Genomic DNA, 25,474 nt, shown 5'->3' with positions numbered 1-25,474 from the left:
GAATGATGGTATCATCCCAACCCAAATTCCTTTCGTCCAGACTTTTGAAAAATTAGAACAAAACAAACAGAAGACCAAGGGAGAGAAAGACTAGAAAAATTGGTTTAGCCAATTCTCATTTGGCTAGTTTGAAATTGGAAGCTAGTACAAGACAGGGGATGAGGGTGGGGGAAGAAGCCCAATGTTACAATAGGACTTCAGGCTTGTAGACATGTTAGTATATGCAGAGTCTCTTTGATTTAGCAGAAGTGAGTATCCATGCCTGGGCTGACATATGCAGTCAAGGCCATTATGTGTCACGACCTCTCCCTTAGCCTACAAGTTCCTAGAAGGCAGCAACCAGGCCTCTGTAGTATTCCTGACTGATTCTTTTTGGAGCCATGGATACAATGAATGTTTGGGACAATGAGGACAAATGGCTTCTTGACGCTTTCAGGGAATCTGTACACTTCACAGACAGGTTCGGTGTCTCAGAAAAGTGACCTGTAAAGGTTAAATACAGTATTACAAATCATAATGCTAAAACATGAGAACGTGTGTTATAATCACTTGAAATGGCCAGGTGCAGTGGCTCACACCTGTAATCCCAGCACTTTGGGAGGCCAAGGCAGGTGTATCATGAGGTCAGGAGTTTGAGACCAGCCTGGCCAACATGGTGAAACCCTGTCTTTACTAAAGATACAAAAAAATAGCTGGGCATGGTGGTGGGCACCTGTAATCCCAGCTACTCGGGATGCTGAGGCAGGAGAATCGCTTGAACCCAGGAGGTGGAAGTTGCAGTGAGTCGAGATCATGCCATTGCACTCCAGCCTGGGTGACAGGGTGAGAGTCCATCTCAAAAAAAAAAAAAAAAAATCACTTGAAATAAGTCCCAGCTCCCCTAGGGGTGTGGTGACAGTGTGGCCTCAACAGGAAAAACTGGGGAAAGGCCAGGAAGGAGCAGAGGCCCAGATGGGGCAGTCGCCCTCAGAATCCATCCTACTGGATATTCTGGCCAGAGGTTGAGAATCCCTTTGCAGTGGACTGACATTCCCCCAAGACTGGCACCCAGGGTGCTGCTCAGATGCTTTCCTATGTTTCTCAAAGCACTGGCTTGTATATTTTGTTTCCTGGCCTTCGGGCACTGCATTTCCTGTTCAATGTGTTCTGCAGGCAGCATCTTATGTGGACGGTCTGCTACGGTGTCTGAATGTTTATGTCCCCCCAAAAATTCATATGTTACAATCCTAACATCCAAGGTGATGGTACTAAGAGGTGGGGCCTTTGGGAGGTGATTGGGCCATAAAGTTGGAGCCCTCAGGAATAGGGTTAGTGCCCTTATAAAATAAGCCTGAGAGAGACCTCTTGCCCCTTCTACCACGGGAGGACACAGTGAGAAAGTCTTCTCTGTGAACCAGGACACAGACTATCGCCTGACGCTGAATCCGCTGGCACCTTAATCTTAGACTTCCCAGCCTCCAGAACTGTCAGAAATAAACTTCTATTGTTTATAAGCACTAAGTCACGGTATTTTGTTGTTGTGGTTGTTACTGGAGCCTTAACAGACTAAGACAGGATTTAACCTGAAGACAAACACTTACGGGAAAGATACTTGGAAGCTGAATTTCCTTCTACCTAACTGGCTGCCCTCCCTGCTGGATGCTGTGTGCTATAAAGTAATATAAATGAATCATTCCTGAAATAATCAAAATGCACTGATACTCTCAAAGGGCAGGAAGAGGAGAGCCCCTGAATGGGAAAGCTGCTAGGCTGTATCAGCTTGGCTAAACTTTCTTCCTGATTTTTCCTTCTCTCATTTCTAAAAGTATTCATATTGTCTTCAAAATTAAACACACACAACACATCCACATAAAAACAATTTGTTTTCATCTTAAAACTCATTCTTTTGGGGCCTTTTGGCTTTCTTGGATGAGGAGCGCTTCCCCTGCAGTGGGAACTCAGACAGAAAGGGCTAAGACTGCTCACTGCCATCCTTCCAACAGCTTACCGGTAATGATTTCTTCTTTGCTCATTCCTGTGAAGACTGCATATTTTTGTTGGATTCTGATGATTCCTGTGTGGTGGTAACACACAGAAATAGCCTTTGCAGGGGAACCTTGTTTTGAGGTCTACTCTCTCTTGCTCAATCTGAAGTCCTCTACAGCAGTGCTGCTAAACTTTAAGGTGCATAGGAATCACCTGGAGGGCTCATCAAAACGCAGATTCTCATGCAGTTCAGCCTGGACAGGGCCTGGGATTCTGCATTTCTCATGAGCACCCAGGTGATGCTGATGCTGCTGGTCCACATGCCTCGGTTTGAGTTGCAAGGGTCTGCCTGATTTCTACAGTCTCAGAGGAGCATGTTATGCAATGGAAAGCTCTGGATTCAAACCTGGGCTTCCACACCTCCAAGACCTGGGGCCTTGCAAATTACGTAGCCTCTTTGTGCCTGTCTTCCTCATCTAAATAAGGAAATAAAAATGTTCAATTCTAGAGAGGCTTAAGTGAGATAACAGGTACCTCTTCACTTCATACTCTCCTTCTCATTGTATTACCCCAGTAACTCTGAGCTAGGCAAATCAGGAAAAATGATTTTCATTTTAAAAGGAAATACATGGAGACCTTGGAGTATATGTGATGACACTGACACCGCATCCCAGGTTTGCTGCAGACCCAGGGAAAGAAAGAATAAACACTTCTCTTGTAGGGAATGGCACCCATACCCAACTGCACATCAGAGGGGCCCTCTTTGCAGGGCAGCCTCTGGGTCTCCACCCCCAGAAATTCTGATTTTCACCATGTGGGGCAAGGTTCTGGAATCTGTGCTTCTATAAACCTCTGCAGCCCCTTTTAAGATGTAGAAACCACTATGCTTGCCCCTACTGCCACTTCAGGTCCCTGGACAACCGTCCCTGACCCTACCCCTGGGACAACTGGTGTCAAGCCTTCATCTGGAGGATTCTGAATAAATAGTGATGCATGATAATCTCCTGATAACAAAATCCAGGCAAATATCTTCTGCAAACATTGGCTGAGGTCCTCTGTCAATTCACGCTCCTTTGGATTAACCACATAGCTCTCAATTTTCATACCAATATTGATTATTCTTCAGATAATGCTGTATTTGTGCTTTTAATAGGGTGATTAGACAGTTTGGGTACAGGTCCACATTGGCTTGTCGGATTATATTTTGTGTGAGATACATATATTTAAAATTATATATATATATACACACACATATTTAAGATAAAAATATTAAAGACTTAACGTGAAGCAAACTGCACAGAGAGAACAGATCAATACATCCTGCCTATGCCTTCCCAACAGCCTTTGGAAGCCACCAGATGCCACAGCAACAAATGCAAAGCTGTAGCTTGCAGTCTAGAAGTGTACAGCAAGCCCAAATGCCCTAAATAATGAGGCAGTATGTCCATATGTTGCCCAGGGTTTTTATAGCTAGCAATTGCCAGCTGTTGATTTTGACAAAAGCAGTTGGTCAGGAGCTAAAGGAAAATAAAAACAGGAGGGAGAACACCTGCCTTGAAAGCCTAAGAAAAAGGAGACAGATCCAATGACGTCTGGGAGCTGGTGTGAGGCTGTGACCTCAGCATCCTCAGACCCGGGCTGTGGAGCCAGGTGTGCCTGCAGGCACAAGCAGAGTGCAAACGGCTTTGGTGCTGTTCAATTACTACACTCTATAGTCCACATGTGCCCATTTTTGAACAGCCAGGAAAGTGTCAATAGCTCCCTCCAACCCAAGGATGCGATAGAAACCCAACGAAACAGCAGGTGTTCCAGTGGCATTGATGGATTCAGTCTTGACACAGTCACATGCTGGTCAGGGTCTCCTGAACTCCAACTGCTCAAAGCCAGTTCTGCCACGGAAGGTGCAAGGTTAGCCCAGCCCTGTCTAGACCATTTGGATCTGATTCTTCTCCTCTCTCTTTTAGGAGGAAAGCAGGGAGGGCATGCCAGGAGCTGATGTGTCACTGCCTGATGGGGAGGTGGGTGTAGATCCCAAAAGCCCTCAGACATTCTTGAGCTCCCTCCCTCTCACAGGGAAGCAGGTCCTATGTAGGACCACATGGAAGGCCAAGCGCTCGCTTCCATTTCAAAGACTCGAAGAGAAGTCATTTGTTTACCTACAATAAGGCTACCTTTCCCCACTTTTTGAAAGAAATAATATTGACTCAGATTGGTCATGCTGGTTGTGTCCTGTGGCCCAGGACCTGGTACTGGCAGGCATGTACACATCTGTGTATAATCTGTGATTAACAAGGATGGCAGACAGCTACTGCCTAAAAATATAGGTTCCTTGGTAGATAAATTTTTCAAAACACTGGGTTCCCAGGGTAAAACAAGGGAAGCCCTGGCCTCGGGCACAAGCCCTCTCTGAGATCTTCAGACACCAACTTGCTTCTCCCTGGTGGCCACTGGATTTTTGCCCCTCAGGAGGTCAGACACAGGACAAACAAAGTGCCTTTCCAAGAATGTGCTGCTCCCCATAGCTGATCTTCCCCACCTCTAACCTGGAGAGAGAGAATGTCTCTCCACAACTGACCCTTTCTCCATGCCTTCCCCATCCCAACCCAACTCCATGTGGGCCAGGTCTACTTTGCCTCCAGAGTGGCTGCTCCTGGGCGTTCTAGGAGCTCAGCTGCCCTCTGACACCCAGACTAACCGGCCCTGGCCCTGTCCATCGCCTACCCATGGGCAGCACAAAGGTATGTGGTCAGAGTCGTGCAGCAACGCTCATCAAGCCAGGGATGATTCCCATCCAGAGGGGATGCAAAGGGAGGCGGGACAGGGTGAGGGATTGTGTGAGACTGGAGAACATCATGGAGGACAGAAAAGGCCCCGTGGTGTCCTGTGCTCTCCCTTCTCTCTCAGCTTGGGGAGGGACCTTGCCACCGACTGCGTGGTCAGTAACAGAGTAGCTTCCCCGGCCAGAAAGGCTGCTTGTCACGCATCGTGCGTTTTCCTTCTAGTAACAAAAGTCTTTGGATATTTGGATGCTGAGCAGTAATGGGGTGTTGGAAGCCAGGGCCTTTGTGCTGGTGGGGAGGGGAAGCAAGGAGAGAGATGGGGGAGGGCCCATTCCCGAACAGAGGGTAGACTGACCTCGGTTGTGTGTGTGTGTGTGTGGTTGTGTGTGTGTGGTGTGGAGGGTAAGGTAAGGGGGACAGTATCTGGTTGGTTCAGGGAGGCAGATACAGGTTGGGGAATTACCCTGGAACCGCATGTCACCTTGACACCCAGTTCCGCAGGTGCAGTGGTGTTAGCTCTTCAAGGCACCTGAACATCTTTTATCTCCCTTAGCTTGGTCCTCCTCACAGAGCCATAGAACCTCAGTGTTTTGTCCAGTCCAGGGTTGTCAGTTTCACATAAGGAACTGAAGGCACAGTGAGGTGAGTCCCAGTGGAAGCCAAAGTCTGGATCCCCCATTGGGAATTTCTTTTCACAACATCTCTGAAAGGAAGATGGGGCAGAGGTATGGATTCCCATTTTACTCTTGGAGAAGGAAACACGTTTGTTTAGGGTGACTCAATTAGCACTGGATCCTGGATTTGATCTTGGAAAACCCCTTCCCAGCCTCCACAGTTTCTGGGAAGCCTGTGAAGTAAGAGCAACTCAACACCGGGTCAGAATCTTCCAGTCCTCGCTGCCCCAGAACTGGAACTCCCCACTCAACTTGGATGGGCTGTCCTGGCCAAGGCCATCTTGGACGGGACAGCCCCAGCTGATCCAGCAGCTGACTAAAGATGCACACTTGAGTCCAGCTGAGATCAGCCAAGCACGGCCTGTATCAGCAGACACACCCAGCCAACAAACAAGCTTCTGGGCAAAAATAGATGTTTATTGTTTTATATCACCCATGCTGTGGTTCTGTGTTTTGCAGCATTATTGTGGTGACAGGTAACTGATACAGAAGCCAAGAATGACCTTTGCCTTCCTGCCCAGGGGTGAGTCAAATGTACTGTAAGAAGCTCAGATGGAAGCCAAGACCCTGTTTCCTACTCCTTGTCAGCCACTTATCAGCTGCAGGACTGTGAGCCTTAGTTTCCTGATCCTATAGAGTGGGGATGCTAATGTCCAGCACTCCAGGACATCAAAAGGCTTGCTGTAACACTTGGCACAGAGTAGACACTCAGGAAATGTGAACATTCTTCCTTCCTTAGAGAAAGCAGAAAGAAGGTGTGTAAGGAGAGGTTAAGAGTTCATGATTTCAAGTCTTACTCGATAGTAGATGAACTGCCCAGAGGGCTAATGGCAAATAAAAGGTTAAAGATGTTTGTTTTCTTTGTGAGGTTGTCTCATAGCCAATTCCCAGCCTCATATAAGAGGTAAGACTACGACGTGTTTTTACATACGTGTCAGAGATCCTAAAAGGTTTTGGACCACTGGAGTTTCCTAACATACTAATTTATGTCCAAATACATTGATGGGTATCAATATCATCTACATATGATGGGTATTGTTAGCCCCTAATAAATAATGCAGAAGTGCTCTATTCTCCTTGCATTCAGTAAATACTTTCCCTGAATAGTTCAATGTGATCTTGTCAGGGCAAGGGTGGGGAGTGGGGAGAGAGACCATCCAGGGTGTGCATTTGTCAGCAGACACTTAACCTCCAAGGATACAGGTTTGAAAAGTACACCTGCAGAAGAGGCCTTTTCGCTTTTCAGCTGAAGAGCTCGCAGCTTCCCTCCTAGGAAGGCTTGTGCAAAGTGGGGAGCGTGACCCTTTCCACTAAGGAGGGCACTCTCCCGGGAGGACATAGGGCCTGCAGTTCTGTTGGAAAGATTAACTAAGGCAGTCAATTGGGGTTATGTTGGAAAAATCAATTACAAAAGTAGGTTCACATTTGTACCTCTGGGCTTGTTCCCTGAGAAACCTACAGGTGTTTGAGGTAAGAAGAATGGAAATAACCCCCCTTCACTTCCCTGCTCTGAACTGGTGGCCCTTCAGTACTGATAGAATGACAAGACTATGGGAGAGGTGATGGTGTCCAGTAGAGAACCCTTCCTTTGGAACTAATCTGCATGATCAAGAGCCTTTAAAGTAAAAATAATAAGATTCCTTGAATTCAAACAAGGAAGAAAGAAAATAGAATAACTGTACACTCTGCTAATAAATATTTGATATTCAGTAAGCCATAAATGCTGGTAAATCTCAGCAATGCATGCTTCTCAGGGTCAGCAAATAATTAGGTGCCAGCACATTGCCACAGAGACCCTGGGAGCAGGGGGCCTAACACACAAGACTTGGGGCTCAGGCTCTAAGCAGCTCCACTGGCCATTCAGGGCCAGCTGGTGCCAGAAGCACTGATCACCCACCTGGGAGGAGCCAGGCCTTGATGGATGGGGAGGGTCTGTCTTAAAATCATTATTGGATTATTTTGTGCTCCCTAAATTTTGGAAACTATAAATAGTTCCCAGTTAGATGCCTTGCAGGTTTCCTTGCTTCATTGTGATTTCTGACGCATCACCAAAGGCCACTTAGGTTCAGATGACCATGGAGCCAGTACCATGAACCTGCCCTCCGCCCCCAACCACCTCTAGAACTAAACTCTAACTTGGCCCTCATTTCTCCAAACGTGCCTGATCTGAGTCAGATGAGAAACTTAATGGCTTTGTTTCAAGGTTGAGAGCTGGCTTTCCTCAGAAACTTGGTCTTCATGTACCAGATGCCAATACAGACAGGCAGCGGAGCCAGTGACGTCCAGACCAACATCCATTTGGGAGGCCAAGGGCAGAGACAGGGTGGACACTGTGCAAATGGATGTGGAGCCATTCTTGGTTGTTAGGTTCCCCTCCTCCTTTCACTCCCTTCTAATTGTGGATGTATGCACAGGCCTTGCAAGACAGACCTCTAACCCATTTGGCAAATTATCCTGCACAAGGTACTCCAGCGTGAACCACCTATGGGCTAGTTGGAGCACTGCCGCCTGGCTTATTAGAGCAGATATTGTGGGCGGGAGAATGGCGGAGCAAGAGGAAAAAGGAGACAGGAGGGAGAAGGAACAAGAAGGCAGGAGGGGCCATGCACGATGCACACATACACACTCCCCTCATTCTGGAGATGCTGGAGGGTGGGGGCAAAGTCCCCAAGTTCCGAGCTGCCCGGAGTCCGGGAAGGCTTGGCACTGCCCTGGAATGTCGGTGTGAGCCGTGTCTTGGGCTTCACCTCTGACACAGGACAAATCTCAGATCCTGGGGAGATTTCCTGTAGTACATTCTTCCTCTCATCTAGAAAATGTGGATGATAGGCCAGGTGAGGTGGCTCATGCCTGTAATCCCAGCACTTCGGGAGGCTGAGGCGGGTGGATCACGAGGTCAGGAGATCGAGGCTATCCTGGATAACATGGTGAAACCCTGTCTCTACTAAAAATAAAAAAAATTAGCCAAGTGTGGTGGCGTGTGCCTGTAATCCCAGATACTCGGGAGGCCGAGGCAGGAGAATCACTTCAACCCGGGAGGCAGAGATTGCAGTGAGCCAAGATCACGCCATTGCGCTCCCGCCTGGGTGACAGAGCAAGGCTCTGTCTTAGGAAAAAAAACAAACAAACAAACAAACAAAAAAAAAACCAAAGGAAATGTGGATGATCAATGGCAAATCTCTGCTCTTTCTCCACACCGCCGCCTCTGCTTTCACTTGGATGTCGAAGCTGGTCTTGACAAGCGCTAGAGCAACTCCCCAGTGTCCACTTACTGTCGGCTGGAGGCAGACCGCACAGCGACCATTCTGTGTTCCCAAGCTTCAAAGACATTCTCTGAAAAAAACAAGTTTTATTTCCTGTCTCTATTTTTACTTTCAATACAAAGTCACTGAAGGGGACTCAGGAAATGAGGGCTCTTGGATGTCTCACGACTTTCTTATATGGAGGCATGGCCTGAAAAAGGCCCAGAGTGCCCCTGGTGGGCAGATCTCCCAGGGGAAGGTTCAGGCCCCTGTAGCTGCCCGCAGGTGCTGCCTGTAGGAAGCACACTGGAGCCTGTACACCGAGTGGAGATGTACCTCTTACTTCTGCTTCTCTCCAGCAGAGGCTCTAACAAACATGAGTAGCCTCAAAGAACAGGCTTCTAATAGCAGATGGTCTAGGTCAGCTGCTAAAACCACAGACTCCTAGAAAGGCAGGATTTTAGAGAGCACTTGGTCTAACCTTGTTTTTAGAAATAAGAGATCAGAACTCCCAGCTAGGGTCACCTATGCAGTGACACAGCCCTGAGAACCCATATTCCCTCCTGTCTAGTCCAGTGGGGCTTTTATTTCCCACCTTCCTATTAGAATAAATAGTTTGGGGCACTCAGCCTTTGAAATCACAATTCCCAGTCATCTCTTCTGCCTATGCAGAAGCCTGGCAAAGAGGGATCTTTAGCTCTGCTGCCAAGCTGCATTCCTGTAAGCCATCCAGGAAGTCGTGAGTTGCTAAAACAAATATTTAATTCCAGATACAAACATCTGGCTTAAAATGGCTAGGAGAGCATGGGGCAGCTTCTTCAACTTTCTGCTAAAATCATCTCGAAGTCCTGTAATGAAACACAAAACTTAGCACACCAAAAACCAGGACTGCAGTCAGTCTGTTTTGGGGGATCTGGAGATTTTTTACCTAAACACAAGGCCAAGGCCAATGGAACTGGGTTGAAATGGGACATCAGGATTGAAAAAATAACATCTGAGTCCTCCAACTGTTGAGAAATTTAAATTCAGCAGCCATCCATCTACTTGGTAGGTGCTGCCTTTTGAAAGAGCCAGAGTACTCCCCACTCCCTTCCACCTGCCAATTAAGAACTGCAACTCTCAGAAAACAACTAGGCAAAAAAACAAAACAAAACAAAACAAAACTGCAGGGTGGAGGAGGGACACCAAGGCTGGTACATCACTCCCTTGGAGAAGTAGTTTCCAGAGCACTCAGGGTGAGCACAGGTACAAGAGGAGCCCTCGATGTGCAGTATACCGGGGGTTGTCGTGTGTATTCCATTTGATCAGCTTCTCAGCATCCCAGGATCGGATGCAGGAGATGAGTGCACATCAGTTCAGCAGGGCCACACAACAAGGAAGCTGATTAGATGGAAGCTTGGTTAGGTGTATCAACTGGCGATTTAGTATAGGGCTTAGAGAATGAGTGCACTAACATCCAGAAAAGAGGTCATGAGCAAAACATACACCCTTTCTATTGACCATGGCAAGCCAGAATGGGTCTCTTCTCATTTGAGAATGAATAAACAGGAAAAAGAGACAATTGAAAAAATAGTAGAAGACAAAAAGGGATCCTCATCTGAAAACCAGAGAAAATTTACCAGATAATATCTTCCAGAAACTTAAAGAACATTTTAGAGAATCATTTGATATAACAATATGATGCAAAAAGAGGTGGCTTTTATGAAACAGGAACAGAAAATTATTAAGAAGAAAATAGCAATTTGTAAGTAACCATATGTAATGAAAAAGTAGTAAGACAAAAGATGGGCTGGATGAGGTGGCTCATGCCTGTAATCCCAGCACTTTGGGAGGCCAAGGCGGGCGGATTGCTTAAGCCCAGGAATTTGCGACCAGCCTGGGCAACATGGCGAAACCCTGTCTCTACAAAAACTACAAAAATTAGCCAGGCGTGGGTGGTGTGCACCTGTGGTCCCAGCTACTCAGGAGACTGAAGCAGGGAGAACAATTGAGCCCAGAGGGTTGAGACTGTGGTGAGCCACAATCATGCCACTGCACTCCAGCCTGGGTGACAGAATGAAACCCTGTCTCAAAACAAACAAACAACCCCCGCCCCCCGCAAAAAAAGAGGAGTAAGATTTTTAAAATTTGCAGGAAAATGAGAAATACAGTAGTGGCATTGGAGGAAATTAAGAGCAAAACTGACACTGTGGCGGTAATGCTAGAATTTTATGTGGTTCAGGTGGTCTTTCCCGTAGAAAGGCATTCTTAGTTATTTAATGACTCAAAAATTCTAACTATAGGCTTTCTATGAAAATAACTTCTATGAAAATTTTCTATGAAAATATTTTCTATGAAAATAACTTGAAGACATACTCTAGCTTACTAAGAATTTAATCAAACTTAAAAGCTCAAGAATGTGATATTGTCTTAAAAAAGAATTGGCCAACAGCCCTATGTGGCTACGAATATCCCTGAGCTCCTTCCAAACATCCTAAAAAGTTTTATTACATGAATGAAGAGCACCTCTTTGTTAAGACTACACTAATGAATCTGCAGGAAGGAAAAAGGGTCGGTGTCTCCATTCACAACCAAATCTCAATGTTTAAAAACAAATTGTTTCGTTATTACTTTTCATCTTTATGTGAATAATATAGTTTGAACAAAAGACATTCCTTTGGAAAAGTATCTCTGTCTTGCATAGTTTACCACCAGATTTGGAAGTCCAGTCAAAGACAATTTCAGATACGTCAAACATGAAAAGCAAAACAAAACAACATGCCTATATAAAAAAACAAAAACAAAAACAAAAAAACAAAAAACAAAAAAAATACTAGAAAGAAATGTTTCAAAGTGTTGAAATTTCAGATGAGGGGTGTAAGCACCACTATGATTCAATGTTATATCGGAAAAGGAGCCAATACAATAAAATAAGAAAAAATAAATAAGAAGTGAAAATTTAGAAAGAAAATTTATAAAGGAATTTAGGAAACTGATGAAATGGCAAAAGCTTACATAAGTTGAGTGCTCATTATTTGACAGGCAGAATTCTACGTGTATAAACTCATTTAATTATTACAACCACCCTATGAGGCAGCTTATAATTAATGATACCAAGGTACAGAGGATTAAGCAAATTACTTAAAGTTACATAGTAAATAACAGGCTGGGAGTCAAATTCAGGTAGTGTGACTCCATACTTCTTTTACTTAACAGCGTCTTCAGCCAGAAACAGAATCCTCATAATTATAAGTTAATATGAGGGACTTTTTTTTTTTTTTGGTTTTGTAACCTAGAAAACTCAAGATTTTGAAAGGCAAATTACTAGAACTAATAAAAAAGTTCAGTAAGGTGGCCAGTTTCAAGATGAACATAGAAAATCAATATTGATTGTGTGTACTTAAAAATCCACGAGAATACACAATGAACTGTTAGAATTAGTATGAGAATTTAGTAAGATTCTAAGACTCAAGTCAGTAGACAAAATCAATTGTATTTCTCCATAACACATCAAACAGTAAATGAAAATGATATCATTTACAATAGGATCAAAACATCAAGAGTGTACATAGAATAGATCTAGCAATAGGTATACAAGACATTGACAGGGAAAACTACAAAACTTTGTTAGAGAAATTAAAGAATACCTAAATAAATTGATTGGAAAACTCAATATTGTGAAGAGTTTTAATTCTTTCCATATTGATCTACAGGTACAATGCAATCTCTAATCAGAATCCCAGCAGATTTCTCTCCCTCTCTTCCTTCCTTCTTTCCTTCCTTTCAAGAGGAAAGGAAAGAAAGTTTGAGTTTGACAAGCTGACTCTGAAATTTAACTGGGAATGCAAAAAAATCGAAGAACAGTTAAGCTATTCTAGATGAAGAAGAACAACGTAGGACAACTTTCTGTTTCAACTACCAAGATCTTTAATGAGGCTACAATAGATGGTGTAATACTGCAGCAAGGACATACAACTCCAGACCAGTGGAAAAGGACAGAAACCCAGAAATAGATCCATACACATATGGACACTGGATTCAATGACAAGGTTGGATATGCAGAACATGAGGAACATGTGTTCTCTCCTGTAATGGAGTTGGAATAACTGGATAGGCATTGTGTCACAATGTAATTCTTGACCCCTACCTCATGTCATACACAAAAAATAAGTTCTGCATGGATTACAGACCTTAGTATGGATGGCAAAACAATAAAGTTTTTAGAAAATAACATAGGGTAGGCCGAGCACAGTGGCTTATGCCTGTAATCCCAGTACTTTGGGAGGCCGAGGCGGGCAGATCACTTGAGGTCAGGAGTTCGAGACCAGCCTGGCCAACATGGTAAAACTCCGTGTCTACTAAAAATACAAAAATTAGCCAGGCGTGGTGGCAGATGCCTGTTGTCCCAGCTACTCGGAAGGCTGAGGCAGGAGAATCGCTTGAACCTGGGAGGCAGAGGTTCCAGTGAGCCGAGATTGGGCCATTGCACTCCAGCCTGGGCAACAAGAGCAAAACTCTGTCTCAAAAAAAAAAAAAAAAAAAAAAAAAGAAAGAAAATAACATAGGGTAATTCTTCATAATCACAGGAAAGATTTCTTAGTACTCAAAAAGTACTAGCCCAAAGAGAAATAGTTATATATTGGGGCCCGTTAAAATTAAGAACTTCTCCTGTGCAACAAAGTGAGACCCTGTCTCTACAAAAAACAATTTTAAGAAGTTAGCCAGCGTGGTGGTGCATGCCTATAGTAGTCCCAGCTACTTGGAAGGTTGAGGCAGGAGGACTGCCTGAGCCCAGGAGGTGAAAGCTGCAGTGAGCTATGATCGTACCACTATACTCCAGCCTGGGTAACAGAGCGAGACCCTGTCTCTTAAAAAAATTTAAGAACTTCTGTTTTTCAAAAGACAGGAATGACAGTAAAAAGGAGAGCCACAGATATCTTAAACACATATGTCTGCCACAGGGCCTGAATCCAGAATATATAAAATCTTCTGGAAATCAATAAGGAAATGCCAAACATTCCAATAGAAAAACAGGCAAGAGACTTGAACAGGCACTTCACAGAAGAAATCCAAATTTTCAAAAATTACATGAAAAGATGCTCAAAATTATCAGTAATCCAGGAATTGCAAATTAGACAACATTAAACACCTATCAAAATGGCTTAAATGTAAAAGTCAATACCAAGAGCTGGCAAGGACACAGCCTTGCGGGAGTTCTCCTAGGCTGCTGGTGGGAGGGCAAACTGGGACAACAGATTGGAAGACTGTTTGGCAGTATCTGCAATGGTTGAATATATATGTGCCCTATGACCCAGAAATTCTGCTCATGGAAAGACTCTCTTGTAGCAGACTCTGTCATGTGCTGCCACACTCTCCTGGCCTTCACCACTGCGGGGCACGACAGCCCAACTTCTAACTGCCAGTACCTTCAGCTCTTTGCCTGAGGGCTTTGTCTGGCTGCCAGAGCCTGCCCTGCCCACATGCAGTGCAGGCCAGAAGGGCTGGGGAAGGGTCCAGGAGATTTCCTCAATTAGGGAATAATTGGAGCTGCCAGATAAATACCCCAGCACCCTTGTTCTTCAGCTGGAACAACTCTAAGGCATATTTTCTCTGGAGTTTCACAGAGTTACTCAGCAGGATTAAGCTCCATTTGCCCACTCTACTAATGTGCTTCATGAAGTGACTCTTATTGGGCTTCTTCCCTTTCCTGTCTTGCTTCTCCACTCTTTTACTAGTGTTTTCTGGAATCACCTTTCAAATAAACTACCCATACTTGAATTCTTGTTTTAGGGTTTGCTTCTGAAGAAACTCAAATTAAGAAAACCCCACAGAAATGTATGGTTAAGTACATTAGGATGCATGTACATGTACAAGAATGTTCAGAGCAGCTCTGTAGTAAAACTGGAAACAATCCAAATGCTCATTGACAGGAGAATTGATTAACTGTGGCATATGAGTTTAGTGGAATATTATAGAGTTATGAAAAAGAAGGAATGACTGCTACTACATGCAGCAACACATAACAGCATGAAGATAATGTTGGAAAAAAGAAATCAGACACAAAGGAATACACATATAGTGAGTCTGTTTATATGAAGTTAAAAAAAAAACAGCAACACTAAACTATAGTGGTTAGGATACTTGAGTATAAAGAACTATGAAACCAAAACGCAACAGAAAAAAACCTTCACAACAGTAACAAGTAGCTAGAAATAACTCTAACCAAAAGATCAAAAGGCCAAAACTAAAACTTATTTTTACTTGCTGAGGACATAAATAAAGATTTGGGGTCCAGGCGTGGTGGCTCACGCCATAATGCCAGGGAGGCTGAGGTGGGAGGATCACTTGAACTCAGGCATTTGAGACCAGCCTGGGCAAGAGAGTGACACCCTGTCTCTACAAAAAATACAAAAAAATTAGCCAGGTGTGGTGGGTGTGCCTGTAGTCCCAGTTATTCAGGAGGCTGAGGTAGGAGGATCACCCGAGCTAGGGAGGTCAAGGCTGCAGTGAGCTGTGATTGTGCCACTGCACTCAGGCCTGAGCAACAGAGTGAGACCCCATCTCAAAAAAAAAAAAAAAAAAAAGATTTGAATGAATAGAACTCTGTGCCCTATGTATAATTGAGAAGATCAAAATAATATATAAATTCAAGCTGATTCTATAATTCCTATGGAAAAGTGAAAATACAAGGAAGGCTAAGAAGATGTAGAAACAGAAGATGAGGAGAGAAAATATATATCCTATTAGAGCTCAAGATATATCATAAAGCAAAAATAATTTAAATAGTATGACGTTGACACAGAATTTAATAGATCCATGGAACAGAATGGAGTGCAGAAACTGACCCAAGTACATAAGGGAATATAATATATTATAAAGAAAGTATTGCATTTCAAATAGTGAGAAGAGATGAATTGTTCAGAAACTGTTGGATTAGTTGGCTATCCATTTGAGATTTTAAAAAAATAGATTCCAATTTCACATAATTTATAAAAAGCAACTTCAGAAAAATTAAAGAATAAAGATTCAAATGTTTAAAAATGACCCAAGGCCAGGCATGGTGGCTCACGCCTATAACCCCAGCACACAGGCTGAGGTGGGGGGATTGCTTGAGCTCAGGAGTTTGAGACTAGCCTGGGTAACATAGCAAGACTCCATCTGTATGAAAAAAATAAAATAAAATTAGCTGGATGAGGTGGCAGGCACCTGTAGTCCTAGCTGCTTGGGAAGCTTTTGTAGGAGGATCGCTTGAGCCCAAGAGTTCGAGGTTGCAGTGAGCTATGATTGGGGCTCTGCATCTCAGCCTAGGCAACAGAGTGAGATCCTGCCTCTAAAAAATAAATAAAATAAATAAAAATGACCCAAGAAGCAAAACACATAAAGTAAAGGAAGAGCAACAAAAATATTTATTTGGGCCGGGCATGGTGGCTCACGCCTATAATCCCAGCACTTTGGGAGGCTGAGGCGGGTGGATCATCTGAGGTCAGAAGTTCGAGACCAGCCTGACCAACATGGAGAAACTCCATCTCTACTAAAAATACAAAAATTAGGCAGGCATGGTGGAGAGCACCTGTAATCCCAGCTACTCAGGAGGCTGAGGCAGGAGAATTGCTTGAACCCAGAGGCAGAGGTTGCAGTGAGCCAAGATTGCACCACCATTGGACTCAGCCTGGGCGACAAGAGTGAAACTCTGTCTCATAAAAAATAAATAATAAAAAAGATGAATTTGATACATCAAAGTTAAAAGAAGCCTTATTAAGTTTCAAAATAATACCATGGGATAAAATGTTTTCAATATATTATAGTCTATCCCTCCCTTTAGATCTATTAATGTTTGCTTTATATACCTGGGAGCTCTAGTGTTGGGCACATAGATATTTATAATTGTTATATCCCCTTGCTGTATTGACCCTTTTCTCATTACGTAGTGACCCTCCTCATCTTTGTTCACAGTCTTTGATTTGTAGTCTATTTTATCTGATATAAGTATAGTTACTCCCACTCTTCTTTGGTTTCCAATTGCATGAAATATTTTTTCTACTCTTTCACTTTCAGTCGATGTGTGTCTTTATGGGTGAAGTGGGTTTCCTGAAGGCAACATATAGATGGGTCTTGTTTCTTTAACCATTCAATCACTTTATGCCTTTTAACTGGAGAACTGAGACCACATTTGTAATTTGTAAAGCAAAAATTTGCATCCAGAATATATAAAAAACAATGCCAAACAAGGATATGAACAGGACATTCTCAGAAAAGGAAATATATATGACCAGCAAGTATATGATTATATCAAGGTTCATTAGAAATCATAAAAATATAACAAAATAAAGCAACCACAAAATGTTATTTTTAAATCCAGCAACTATGCAAAAAAAAGTAAAATGGCTAATATATTAACTTCTGGCAAGTGTCAGGGAAATAGGAGCTCTCTCCTCCACTGCTGATGGGGAGCCAATTTCGAAGACAGTGTGGTAGTGCCTATCAAAATTACAGTATGTGCATCTCCATGACCTCTCATTTTGCTTCTCGGTGTCCACCCTAGGAAACATTCCCATGGGTACACAGGGAGGTGTGTACAAGGATGTTCACTCATCACTGCTTAGCAAATAATGCAAACAACCAAAAATGGTAAACAGCCTAATTGCCCATCAAAACAGAAATGGCTAAATAAATGAAAATAGTCATGCCATAGGACACTATGCAATAAATGTGGGTTGCAAGAACCTCATTTATATGTAGAAGCTGGGTAGGCATACTATCAAAGGAAAGAAGGAGCTTTGGAATGATGCATGCAGTGTGATGCCACTTATGTGAAAACAATACGCAAACCTAAGATACCTATCGATCTATCTATCTGTCTTTCTACCTATTTATACAATTTATATGAGTACATATGTAGGTAAATAAATGCACTGGAAGTGCCTGGATTGGCAGACCCACTCTTTGTAGCCAGAAGAGTGGTTACTGCTGGGAAGTAATGAAGAAGACTGGTATTAAAGGAGATAGGCAAAGAGGACTTTATTCTGATCATTAATGTTTTGATTTTTATAAGTAGAATGTTTTAATGCATTGCTTAAATAATTAAAAATAATTTTAATAAAAGCAAAATATTAATGTGGTTCTCTTTGAGTGGCAGAACTTTTTTTTATTATTATACTTTAAATTCTAGGGTACATGTGCACAACGTGCAGGTTTGTTGCATACGTATACATGTGCCATGTTGGTTTGCTGCACCCATCAACTCGTCTTTTACATTAGGTATTTCTTCTAATGCTATCCCTCCCCCAGCCCCCTACCCCACAACAGGCCCCAGTGTGTGATGTTCCCCGCCCTGTGTCCATGTATTCTCATTGTTCAACTCCCACCTACGAGTGAGAGCATGCAGCGTTTGCTTTTCTGTCCTTGCGATAGTTGGCTGAGAATGATGGTTTTCAGCTTCATCCATGTCACTGCAAAGGACATGAACTCATCCTTTTTTATGGCTGCATAGTATTCCATGGTGTATATGTGTCACATTTTCTTAATCCAGTCTATCACTGATGGACATTTGGGTTGGTTCCAAGTCTTTGCTATTGTGAATAGTGGAGTGGCAGAACTTTTGATAAAAAATGTTTTTAAGAAATGGAGTTTTAAGCTGCTGGAGTACAGTGGCTATTCACAGGCAGTATCCCACTACTGAGCAAACACAACTGACCTTTGGATGCAGAGAGAAAGGGAAGCCTGCAGTGAGCACTGGTCCTCCGGAGGGGTCTAGGGAAGCAGAGGGGAGGGACGTCTTAGAGAAAAGGAAGTAGGGGCAGGGGAGGGAGTTCAGGAATTTGAACATCACTTTAACATCTTCTAGAACCTGGGGTAAGGGCAGGATAGAGTAAAATCTGCCTTGAGAACTTGCACATAGAGTAGGGAAGGTGGTTTCTCTTCAGTTTCAGCAGACTTGTGGCCAGGCACTGAGCTGGAGTTTGGAAACCTGGTTCCCCCTCAGAGCTCTGACATCCAGTTCTTCCAGTTGAAAGTTTATTTGACCTCATTCCCATTAGGATGGCTGCTGTCAAAACAAAATGAAAACAAAAAATAACAAATGTTGGCAAGGATGTGGAAAAATTGGAACCTTGTGTGCTGTTGGTGGGACTGTAAGATGATGTAGCCACTATGGAAATAGTATGGCAGTTCCTCGGAAATTTAAAGTGTGAATTATCACATGACCCAGAAATACCACTTATGAGTATATACTCCAAAAGAACTGAAAGCAACATGGCAGTAGTTGTTTTTTCCCTCACCAACCTGGTGATACCCCACTCCCAGGAAGTCACCGTATTGATGGTGAACTTAGTGAGGACATTGATGGGCCTGGGGCACTACAGTCCAGAACTCAGGCTCAAGCAATCCTCCCACCTCAGCTTCCCCAGTAGCTGGGACTGCAGGTACATGCCACCGCACCTGGCTTTTTGTTTTTCTATTTTTAATTTTTTTTAAAAATTGAGCAAGCAATACAATATAAATAACAAACAATCTTTCTTTGAAATTATGGTAAAATATACACAACAAAATTTACCATCTTAACTACTTTTAAGGTTATAGCTCCATAGTGTTAAGTATATTCACATTCTTGTACAATCTCCAGAACTTTTATATCTTGCAGAACTAAAACTCTATACTCATTAAACAAGTTTCCATTTCCCTCTCTCAGGCACCTGGCAAGCACCATTGTACTTTCCGTTTCTATGAGTTTGACTATTCTAGACACTTCATATAAGTGAAATCATATAGTATTTGTCTTTTGGTGATTGGCTTATTTCACTTAGCTTAGCTTAATATCCTCAAGACTCATTCAGACCATAGTATATGTCAGATTTTCCTTCCTTTTTAAGGCTAAATAATATTCCACTGTATGAAAACTCCATATTTTGTTTATCCATTCACCTCTTGATGAACTGTTGGGTTGCTTCCACCTTTTGGCTGTTGTGAATAACACTGCAGTGAACACGGGTGTACAAATATCTCTTTCAGACCCTGCTTTCAGTTCTTTTGGAGTGTATACTCAGAAGTGGTATTTCTGGGTCATGTGATAACTCACATTTTAAATTTCTGAGGAACTGCCATACTATTTCCACAGTGGCTACACCATCTTACAGTCCCACCAACAGCACACAAGGTTCCAATTTTTCCACATCCTTGCCAACATTTGTTATTTTTTGTTTTCATTTTGCTTTACAGCAGCCATCCTAATGGGAATGAGGTCAAATAAACTTTCAGTTGGAAGAACTGGATGTCAGAGCTCTGAGAGGGAACCGGGTTTCCAAACTCCAGCTCAGTGCCTGGCCACAAGTCTGCTGAAACTGAAGAGAAACCACCTTCCTTACTCTACGTGCAAGTTCTCAGGGCAGATTTTACTCTATACTGTCCTTACCCAAGTTCTAGAAGATGTTAAAGTGATGTTCAAATCCCTGAACTCCCTCCCCTGCCCCTACTTCCTTTTCCCTAAGACGTCCCTCCCCTCTGTTTCCCTAGACCCCTCCGGAGGACCAGTCCTCACTGCAGGCTTCCCTTTCTCCCTGCATCCAAAGGGCAGGACAAGGGTGCAGCTGTAACCAGACCCCATCAGAGCTTCCCGAGATGCTCCTGTGGATCAGAACTAATGGCATTAGGCAATCACTCAGGGAATAGAGCTGCAATTACCCTTGGATGCTTTCTCCAGGATGACCACATGCAGATCACCAAGAAGGAGAGAGTAATGAATCACCAAGTGAATTAACTGGAAGCCACTCTAATTAGTGTTATAATTTTTCATGAAAACACTAATGAATATGAAATAATATGGCCATGAAACCACTAGGACAATTAATGCTTGAAAGTAATTTGGGGTCAGGAAAGGATACTAGAGACTGTTTAAATAAACTTGCATGTTGAGAATTCGGTGGCCCATGGCTTCAAAATATTATCAAATAAAGTTGTTACTTCAGAAAAAGCAACATCTGGATGTCTACAGGTTTTCTTTCTTTTCTCTTTTCTTGTTAAGGATCCTAATTTGGGAATAAAGATGATGGTGTGAACCAAAACAGGAGCTCTCCAGGGAGCCAAGTCAGAACCTAAGTGAATGGATTTGGGGAACAAGATAAAGAAGCAGGGCCCAGACATATCAAAAACAGAAAAGAGGTTAAAGAGGAAGCCATTCTCCTTAGCATTTTAAATCTCATGACCACCGGGGTGTCTATAAAAATAACTTTCTGATAAGGCCCCCCAAACCTGTGATCATTATAGAGACAGATGATGTGAGTTTTGTTGGCTCAGTTGCCATTTTTATATGTGAACTTCCATCAAATACAGAATGTCTGCTCAATACATACCACACTTGCAAAATGGACTGTATTCCAATCTAAGCCTGTAGGGATTCAGTCAGAACCTACTGTGTGCACAGTCAACTTCTGGGTTCTAAGCACGAGCTTAGCAAAATGTCCATAACTGTTAAGGGAGTCTTAAAAGGACATTGGGGGTGGGGAGTAAATAGTCCGGCTGCATGGTTGGCCAGTTTGCAAACAGCATGCCCAGTGATGAGTGTAGAGTCTGGCAATCTCACTCATCCTAAATCTCATCTGAGAAAATGACAAAAAATTTATGTTGAAGTACAGATGTGGCCCATGTGTAATAGGATGTTAGCTGTAAAACTGAGGAGATAGGAGGCAATGTACCAGGTGCCATATACCCTTATGGCGTCTCATTTAATCTGTACACCAACTAGATAACGTCAGGACCTACCTTGTCCTCCTCCTACAGAGGAGGGAACTGAGGCTCTTCAAGAGTCGTCCCCTGCCTGACATCACAGAGCTAGTAAATGGTGGCTCAGATACAAACTGGATCTGTTTGGCTCATGCTGTCATTGACAATGCCAAGCAATATTCTTAATATATAAAAGCTATGGGAACATTGGTGACTCAGGCCAAATTTCCTGCTGATATATGGAGAAGTTACAAAAAATTAATCAATCAATCAATAATGGCAGATATTTTAGCAAGTATTTACTATTTACCAGTTATTCTAAGCATCTGTATGCATTAACTTACTTAAGGCTCACAATAACCTTACAATGTACCTATTGTTATTTAGAGGCAAAGCCATAAAGAAGAAACCTTAAAGACCTTGGCAGACCTTGAAGGTTATAATGAATTCAAAAATGTTCAAAGGCTAATTAACAATGCAACAAAAAGCAGTTCTTTGGAACAATTTTTTTAAAAAAATTAAGGCAGCATTTATGGAATGCTAATTCTTCAATTACAGCTCGAACACCATAGATTCCCTCGCCATAGAATTTAATGGAATGGCTGTCTCAAGGAGAGGCAGGATAAAAGATGAGGAGGGCTTGTTCTTCTGTCCTCAGTAGCAGGGTGGGTGGAGTTGAAAAATAAGGGTTTGTTCCTATGTCTTGTTTCCAAAGATGTACACAGGAATACATCTTCTGACAATTTATCCTATTTGCTTTCAAACCCAAGTTGGAATTCTACCCCTTTGGCCATGCAGATGAAACTCTGGTATGACCCAAAGAAAGCTAGCCGCTGTGAGCTGGACTGCGAGTCTGTAAATCAGAGTCCTATGACTCCGGCTAATGCATGAAAGAAGTTATGAATTTAGTTCACAATGCTCAGAATCTGAATAAACCAGCCTGCAAAACCATAGGCATAAAAACACAAGAACTACTAAGGGTGCCATTTCTTCACATTCAGGGGAACTGTGAGCACTGGGTATTGATTCGTAGGACGCCATTTCATGTGAATGCAGAACAAATCTAGCTAAACAAAGTTATCTGCCTGATGGAACTCAAAAATATTTCTCAATTTAATTTTAAACAGACTTTGACTTGAAGGAAATTTAATTATGTGAGTAATATAGAACACAATGAAATGTCCATCAAAATTGCTTCCAAAGGCTTAAAATGTTTTCCTTTTCAGACAACATAGTCAGAGCAGCTAAGATATCTACGTGAGTACAGTGTCTTAAAAATTGGGTCTTGGAAATCAATGTGATCACCTCTCTGAATTAAGTATGTGCAAATGACAGCAACTGAGATCCATATAACTCAGCTCAAGTAGCCCTCTGTGCACCAGATCATTAGGGGACAGGCAGGGAAGAAGGAGGATGCAATAAACACATGATCTGGGGTGTACTCACTAATGGACGGCATCCCTTAACACCCACATTAAGAATCAAGACAAAACTGTCAAGTATTTTTTAACACTGCTTATGATTTTTAAAAAAGTATGCTCCAGATGTAGAACCTAAGTTTAAAAAAACTTAGACATTGTTAAAGTTATAAATGCGCAAACATTTTGATCTTTTTGATATCCCTTCCAACTTGCTTCTTTATTCATTGGTAAACCCTAAGCAGTGTTTGCTTTGTTTAGATTTTCTTAACACAAAATAATTGAGATCTGAATTGGATGCCTTAATTCTGTAGGCAACAGGCTTGGACCTTTGCTCCCCTGGAATTTGGTAATTATTGTAGTAGAACAAAATTTAAAAGTTTAAAGTGAAACCCTATTTTACAATACAGGTTGAGGCCAGGCGTGGTGGCGCACGCCTGTAATCCCAGCACTTTGGGAGGCCAAGGTGAGTGGATCACCTGAGGTCAGGAGTTCGAGACCAGCCTGGCCAACATGGCAAAACCCCATCTCTACTAAAAATATGAAAATTAGCTGGGCATAGTGGTGGGCACCTGTAATCCCACCTACTTGGGAGGCTGAGGCAGGAGAGTAGCTTGAACCCAGTAGGTGGAGGTTGCAGTGAGCCAAGATTGTACTACTGCACTCCAGCCTGTGTTACAGAGTGAGACTCTGTCTCTAAAATAAAATAAAATAAAATAAAATAAAATACAGGTTGAGCTACAAGCAATCACCTGGTGGGTCTTGAGGGGATCTCCCATTGGGACACTAGAGCAGTGGGATTCTGGGGATCATTTATCCTTGCATATTTACTAAGTGCAAACTATGTGTTAGGCATTGTGGTGGGGCTAAAGGGAAGATGCAGGAGAACAAAGCTCAGGGTCCCTGCTTGCTATGATCTAGTCGAGAAGATCAAGCATGTCACAAACAGTCTCAATACAAAGAGGCGTGGTTCCTGTCCAGGTGGGCATAGGTTTGTTACTTATGAATGTGAAATACCCCCACACTTATCTTCTGTGTTGCCAAAATTAGCCCTATACTATTGGACATCCTTGATGTCTGTGTATCACCATAGCAGTGGCAGCTTCCAAGAATAAATGAGCTAAAATACATGGCATGAGGTAGAATGCAAACAAAACAAAACAAACAAACAAAGAAAAACACCAACACCGCCCCCCCCATTCCTCATGCTTGCCTTTTCTGTGCCCATGCTTCCTGCCATGTAACTTTGTAGAGCCTTTCCACCCTGTCTCTGGGCTCAGGCAGGTGACTTGCTTTCACCAATGGAACCAACTTGCTTTCACCTCTTGCTTTCCAGGGGTGGAATACTTGGATTCATGAGTTGGTGTAGCTTATCCAGTTAGAAAAGTCCACCTGTCTCTGCTGTGAATTTTCCGCCCTTTACCCTCCAATCCAATCACCTATTTACTCCACATCCTGCCCTTTTAATGGACTTTCCAGAATCTGCCTATGCAAGCCTGAATCTAAGGCTCGGGATGGAGAACTGGTTAGGGAGGAGTGGGGCTAGCGATATGGACTCCTTCTGGTTCCAGATGCTTCCTTTAGGAAGAGGGCAGAAAAGGAGGTAAAGAAGTGTATAGCCTTTGGTGACACCCATGTCTAGGCTATGGTGCCGTAGCCAGAGAACAGGGTGGCCTCTGACTCCCCCATTGGGAGTCTAAGGCCCTTCAGGGAGGCCTCAGAGCTGCTTCCTGCCCAGCGCAACCCTGCCTGTCTCTGCCTCAGTGTCAGAGGAAACTTGGTTTGGTTATGCAAGGCACAGAAATGACAGTCACACAGGTCAATTGCTTACCTAGTTATCATGCAGCACAGCAATGCATTCAATTCAAGGCAACAGAAAATAAAAATCTGGAATGCTTTCATTTAACACTAAATTCTGTTCATAAATGGTTAGTCTTCATAATTTGTTACTCATGTAATATGAACGTCAAAACATAACTGTAAAAAAGATGAAATATCACGAGCTAATATATAATTTCCACGTAAGATGTATAGCAAATAAATGATCTTAGTTTCAGTTTCCAACTAAAGTTGACATAGTAATAAACTCTGTTCTCACTCAATTCCATATGGATATGTAAAGGTAAGTGAGGATGTATCCATTCAAATCTTAAATATACAGTAAAGTCAAAAAGGGACAAGGGCTAGTTCATATATTTTCACTCCCAACTACTTAGTTCAGTACAGTGTAGGCAGCAATGGATTCATCAAAGGAAAATAATAAAATATAAAATTAAAATAAAATAAAAAGATAAAAATATTAACCTCTGTTTTTTTTCTTCACAGGTAACTTTACGTTATTAACAACCTAAGCACTTGCAGTATCTCAAGTAATGGCTGTTTAGATGCAAGTTTAGTTTACTGATAATTAAAATGACTTAAAATAGGAAAGCAGTCCCTCTGATTTGCTGATATAATTGCTGGCACAATTGCCCTGAGGTGGGTAAAATTTTCCATCTTGTATGAAGCAGAACAACCTTTGCTATTAACGAAGACATCACAAGCCCTGTTTCTCTATATTAAGCTTATGTCTCATTTCAGATTAACATAGAAATCCATTTTAAATTATGTAGCCAATATTTCCAACAATGACCAAAGCATTTATAGAAAACAATACCCCTTTTTCAGGTTGGGTGCAGTGGCTCACGCCTGTAATCCCAATA

The 25,474-nt window shown here is 42.6% G+C and overlaps 1 protein-coding gene across 4 annotated transcripts in view, besides 5 other annotated features; it reads right to left on the bottom strand.

The window, feature by feature from the left end:
- The window catches only part of ONECUT2 (one cut homeobox 2), a 55,925-nt gene that overhangs the window by 15,387 nt on the left and 15,064 nt on the right, over positions 1 to 25,474 (bottom strand). Inside the window, exons 2-3 of one of the 4 annotated variants that reach the window (XM_047437946.1) lie at positions 8,692 to 8,752; positions 3,096 to 6,153 (exon numbers count right to left, since the gene is read on the bottom strand). The exons of 1 other annotated variant lie outside the window; for it this stretch is intronic. In XM_047437946.1, coding sequence (XP_047293902.1) covers positions 6,066 to 6,153; positions 8,692 to 8,752 — 149 coding nt within the window. In that variant the 3' untranslated portion in view covers positions 3,096 to 6,065. Of the gene's footprint in view, positions 1 to 3,095; positions 6,154 to 8,691; positions 8,753 to 17,764; positions 18,686 to 25,474 lie in introns of those variants that run through there. 2 more of the 4 variants (XM_047437947.1, XM_047437945.1) reach the window with 2 other exon arrangements.
- Positions 4,226 to 4,395: an enhancer, noted in NCBI's record as "experimental_48245 CRE fragment used in MPRA reporter constructs". NCBI's record gives its function as "activates a minimal promoter by MPRAs in K562 erythroleukemia cells, with activity observed for the non-introgressed 18:55138834 variant allele {active_cell/tissue: K562}" and the evidence as "EXISTENCE:reporter gene assay evidence [ECO:0000049][PMID:34662402]".
- Positions 6,501 to 6,670: an enhancer, noted in NCBI's record as "experimental_48219 CRE fragment used in MPRA reporter constructs". NCBI's record gives its function as "activates a minimal promoter by MPRAs in K562 erythroleukemia cells, with activity observed for the non-introgressed 18:55136559 variant allele {active_cell/tissue: K562}" and the evidence as "EXISTENCE:reporter gene assay evidence [ECO:0000049][PMID:34662402]".
- Positions 7,981 to 8,150: an enhancer, noted in NCBI's record as "experimental_48198 CRE fragment used in MPRA reporter constructs". NCBI's record gives its function as "activates a minimal promoter by MPRAs in K562 erythroleukemia cells, with activity observed for both the introgressed and non-introgressed 18:55135079 variant alleles {active_cell/tissue: K562}" and the evidence as "EXISTENCE:reporter gene assay evidence [ECO:0000049][PMID:34662402]".
- Positions 7,981 to 8,253: a biological region, named in NCBI's record as "Neanderthal introgressed variant-containing enhancers experimental_48194 and experimental_48198".
- Positions 8,084 to 8,253: an enhancer, noted in NCBI's record as "experimental_48194 CRE fragment used in MPRA reporter constructs". NCBI's record gives its function as "activates a minimal promoter by MPRAs in K562 erythroleukemia cells, with activity observed for the non-introgressed 18:55134976 variant allele {active_cell/tissue: K562}" and the evidence as "EXISTENCE:reporter gene assay evidence [ECO:0000049][PMID:34662402]".

The sequence above is a fragment of the Homo sapiens genome, chromosome 18 (genome assembly GCF_000001405.40).
Source record: "Homo sapiens chromosome 18, GRCh38.p14 Primary Assembly".
NCBI classification, from domain to species: domain Eukaryota; kingdom Metazoa; phylum Chordata; class Mammalia; order Primates; family Hominidae; genus Homo; species Homo sapiens.
The sequence above is the reverse complement of the archived record's forward strand: the minus strand, read 5'-3'. Positions and strand labels throughout refer to the sequence as shown.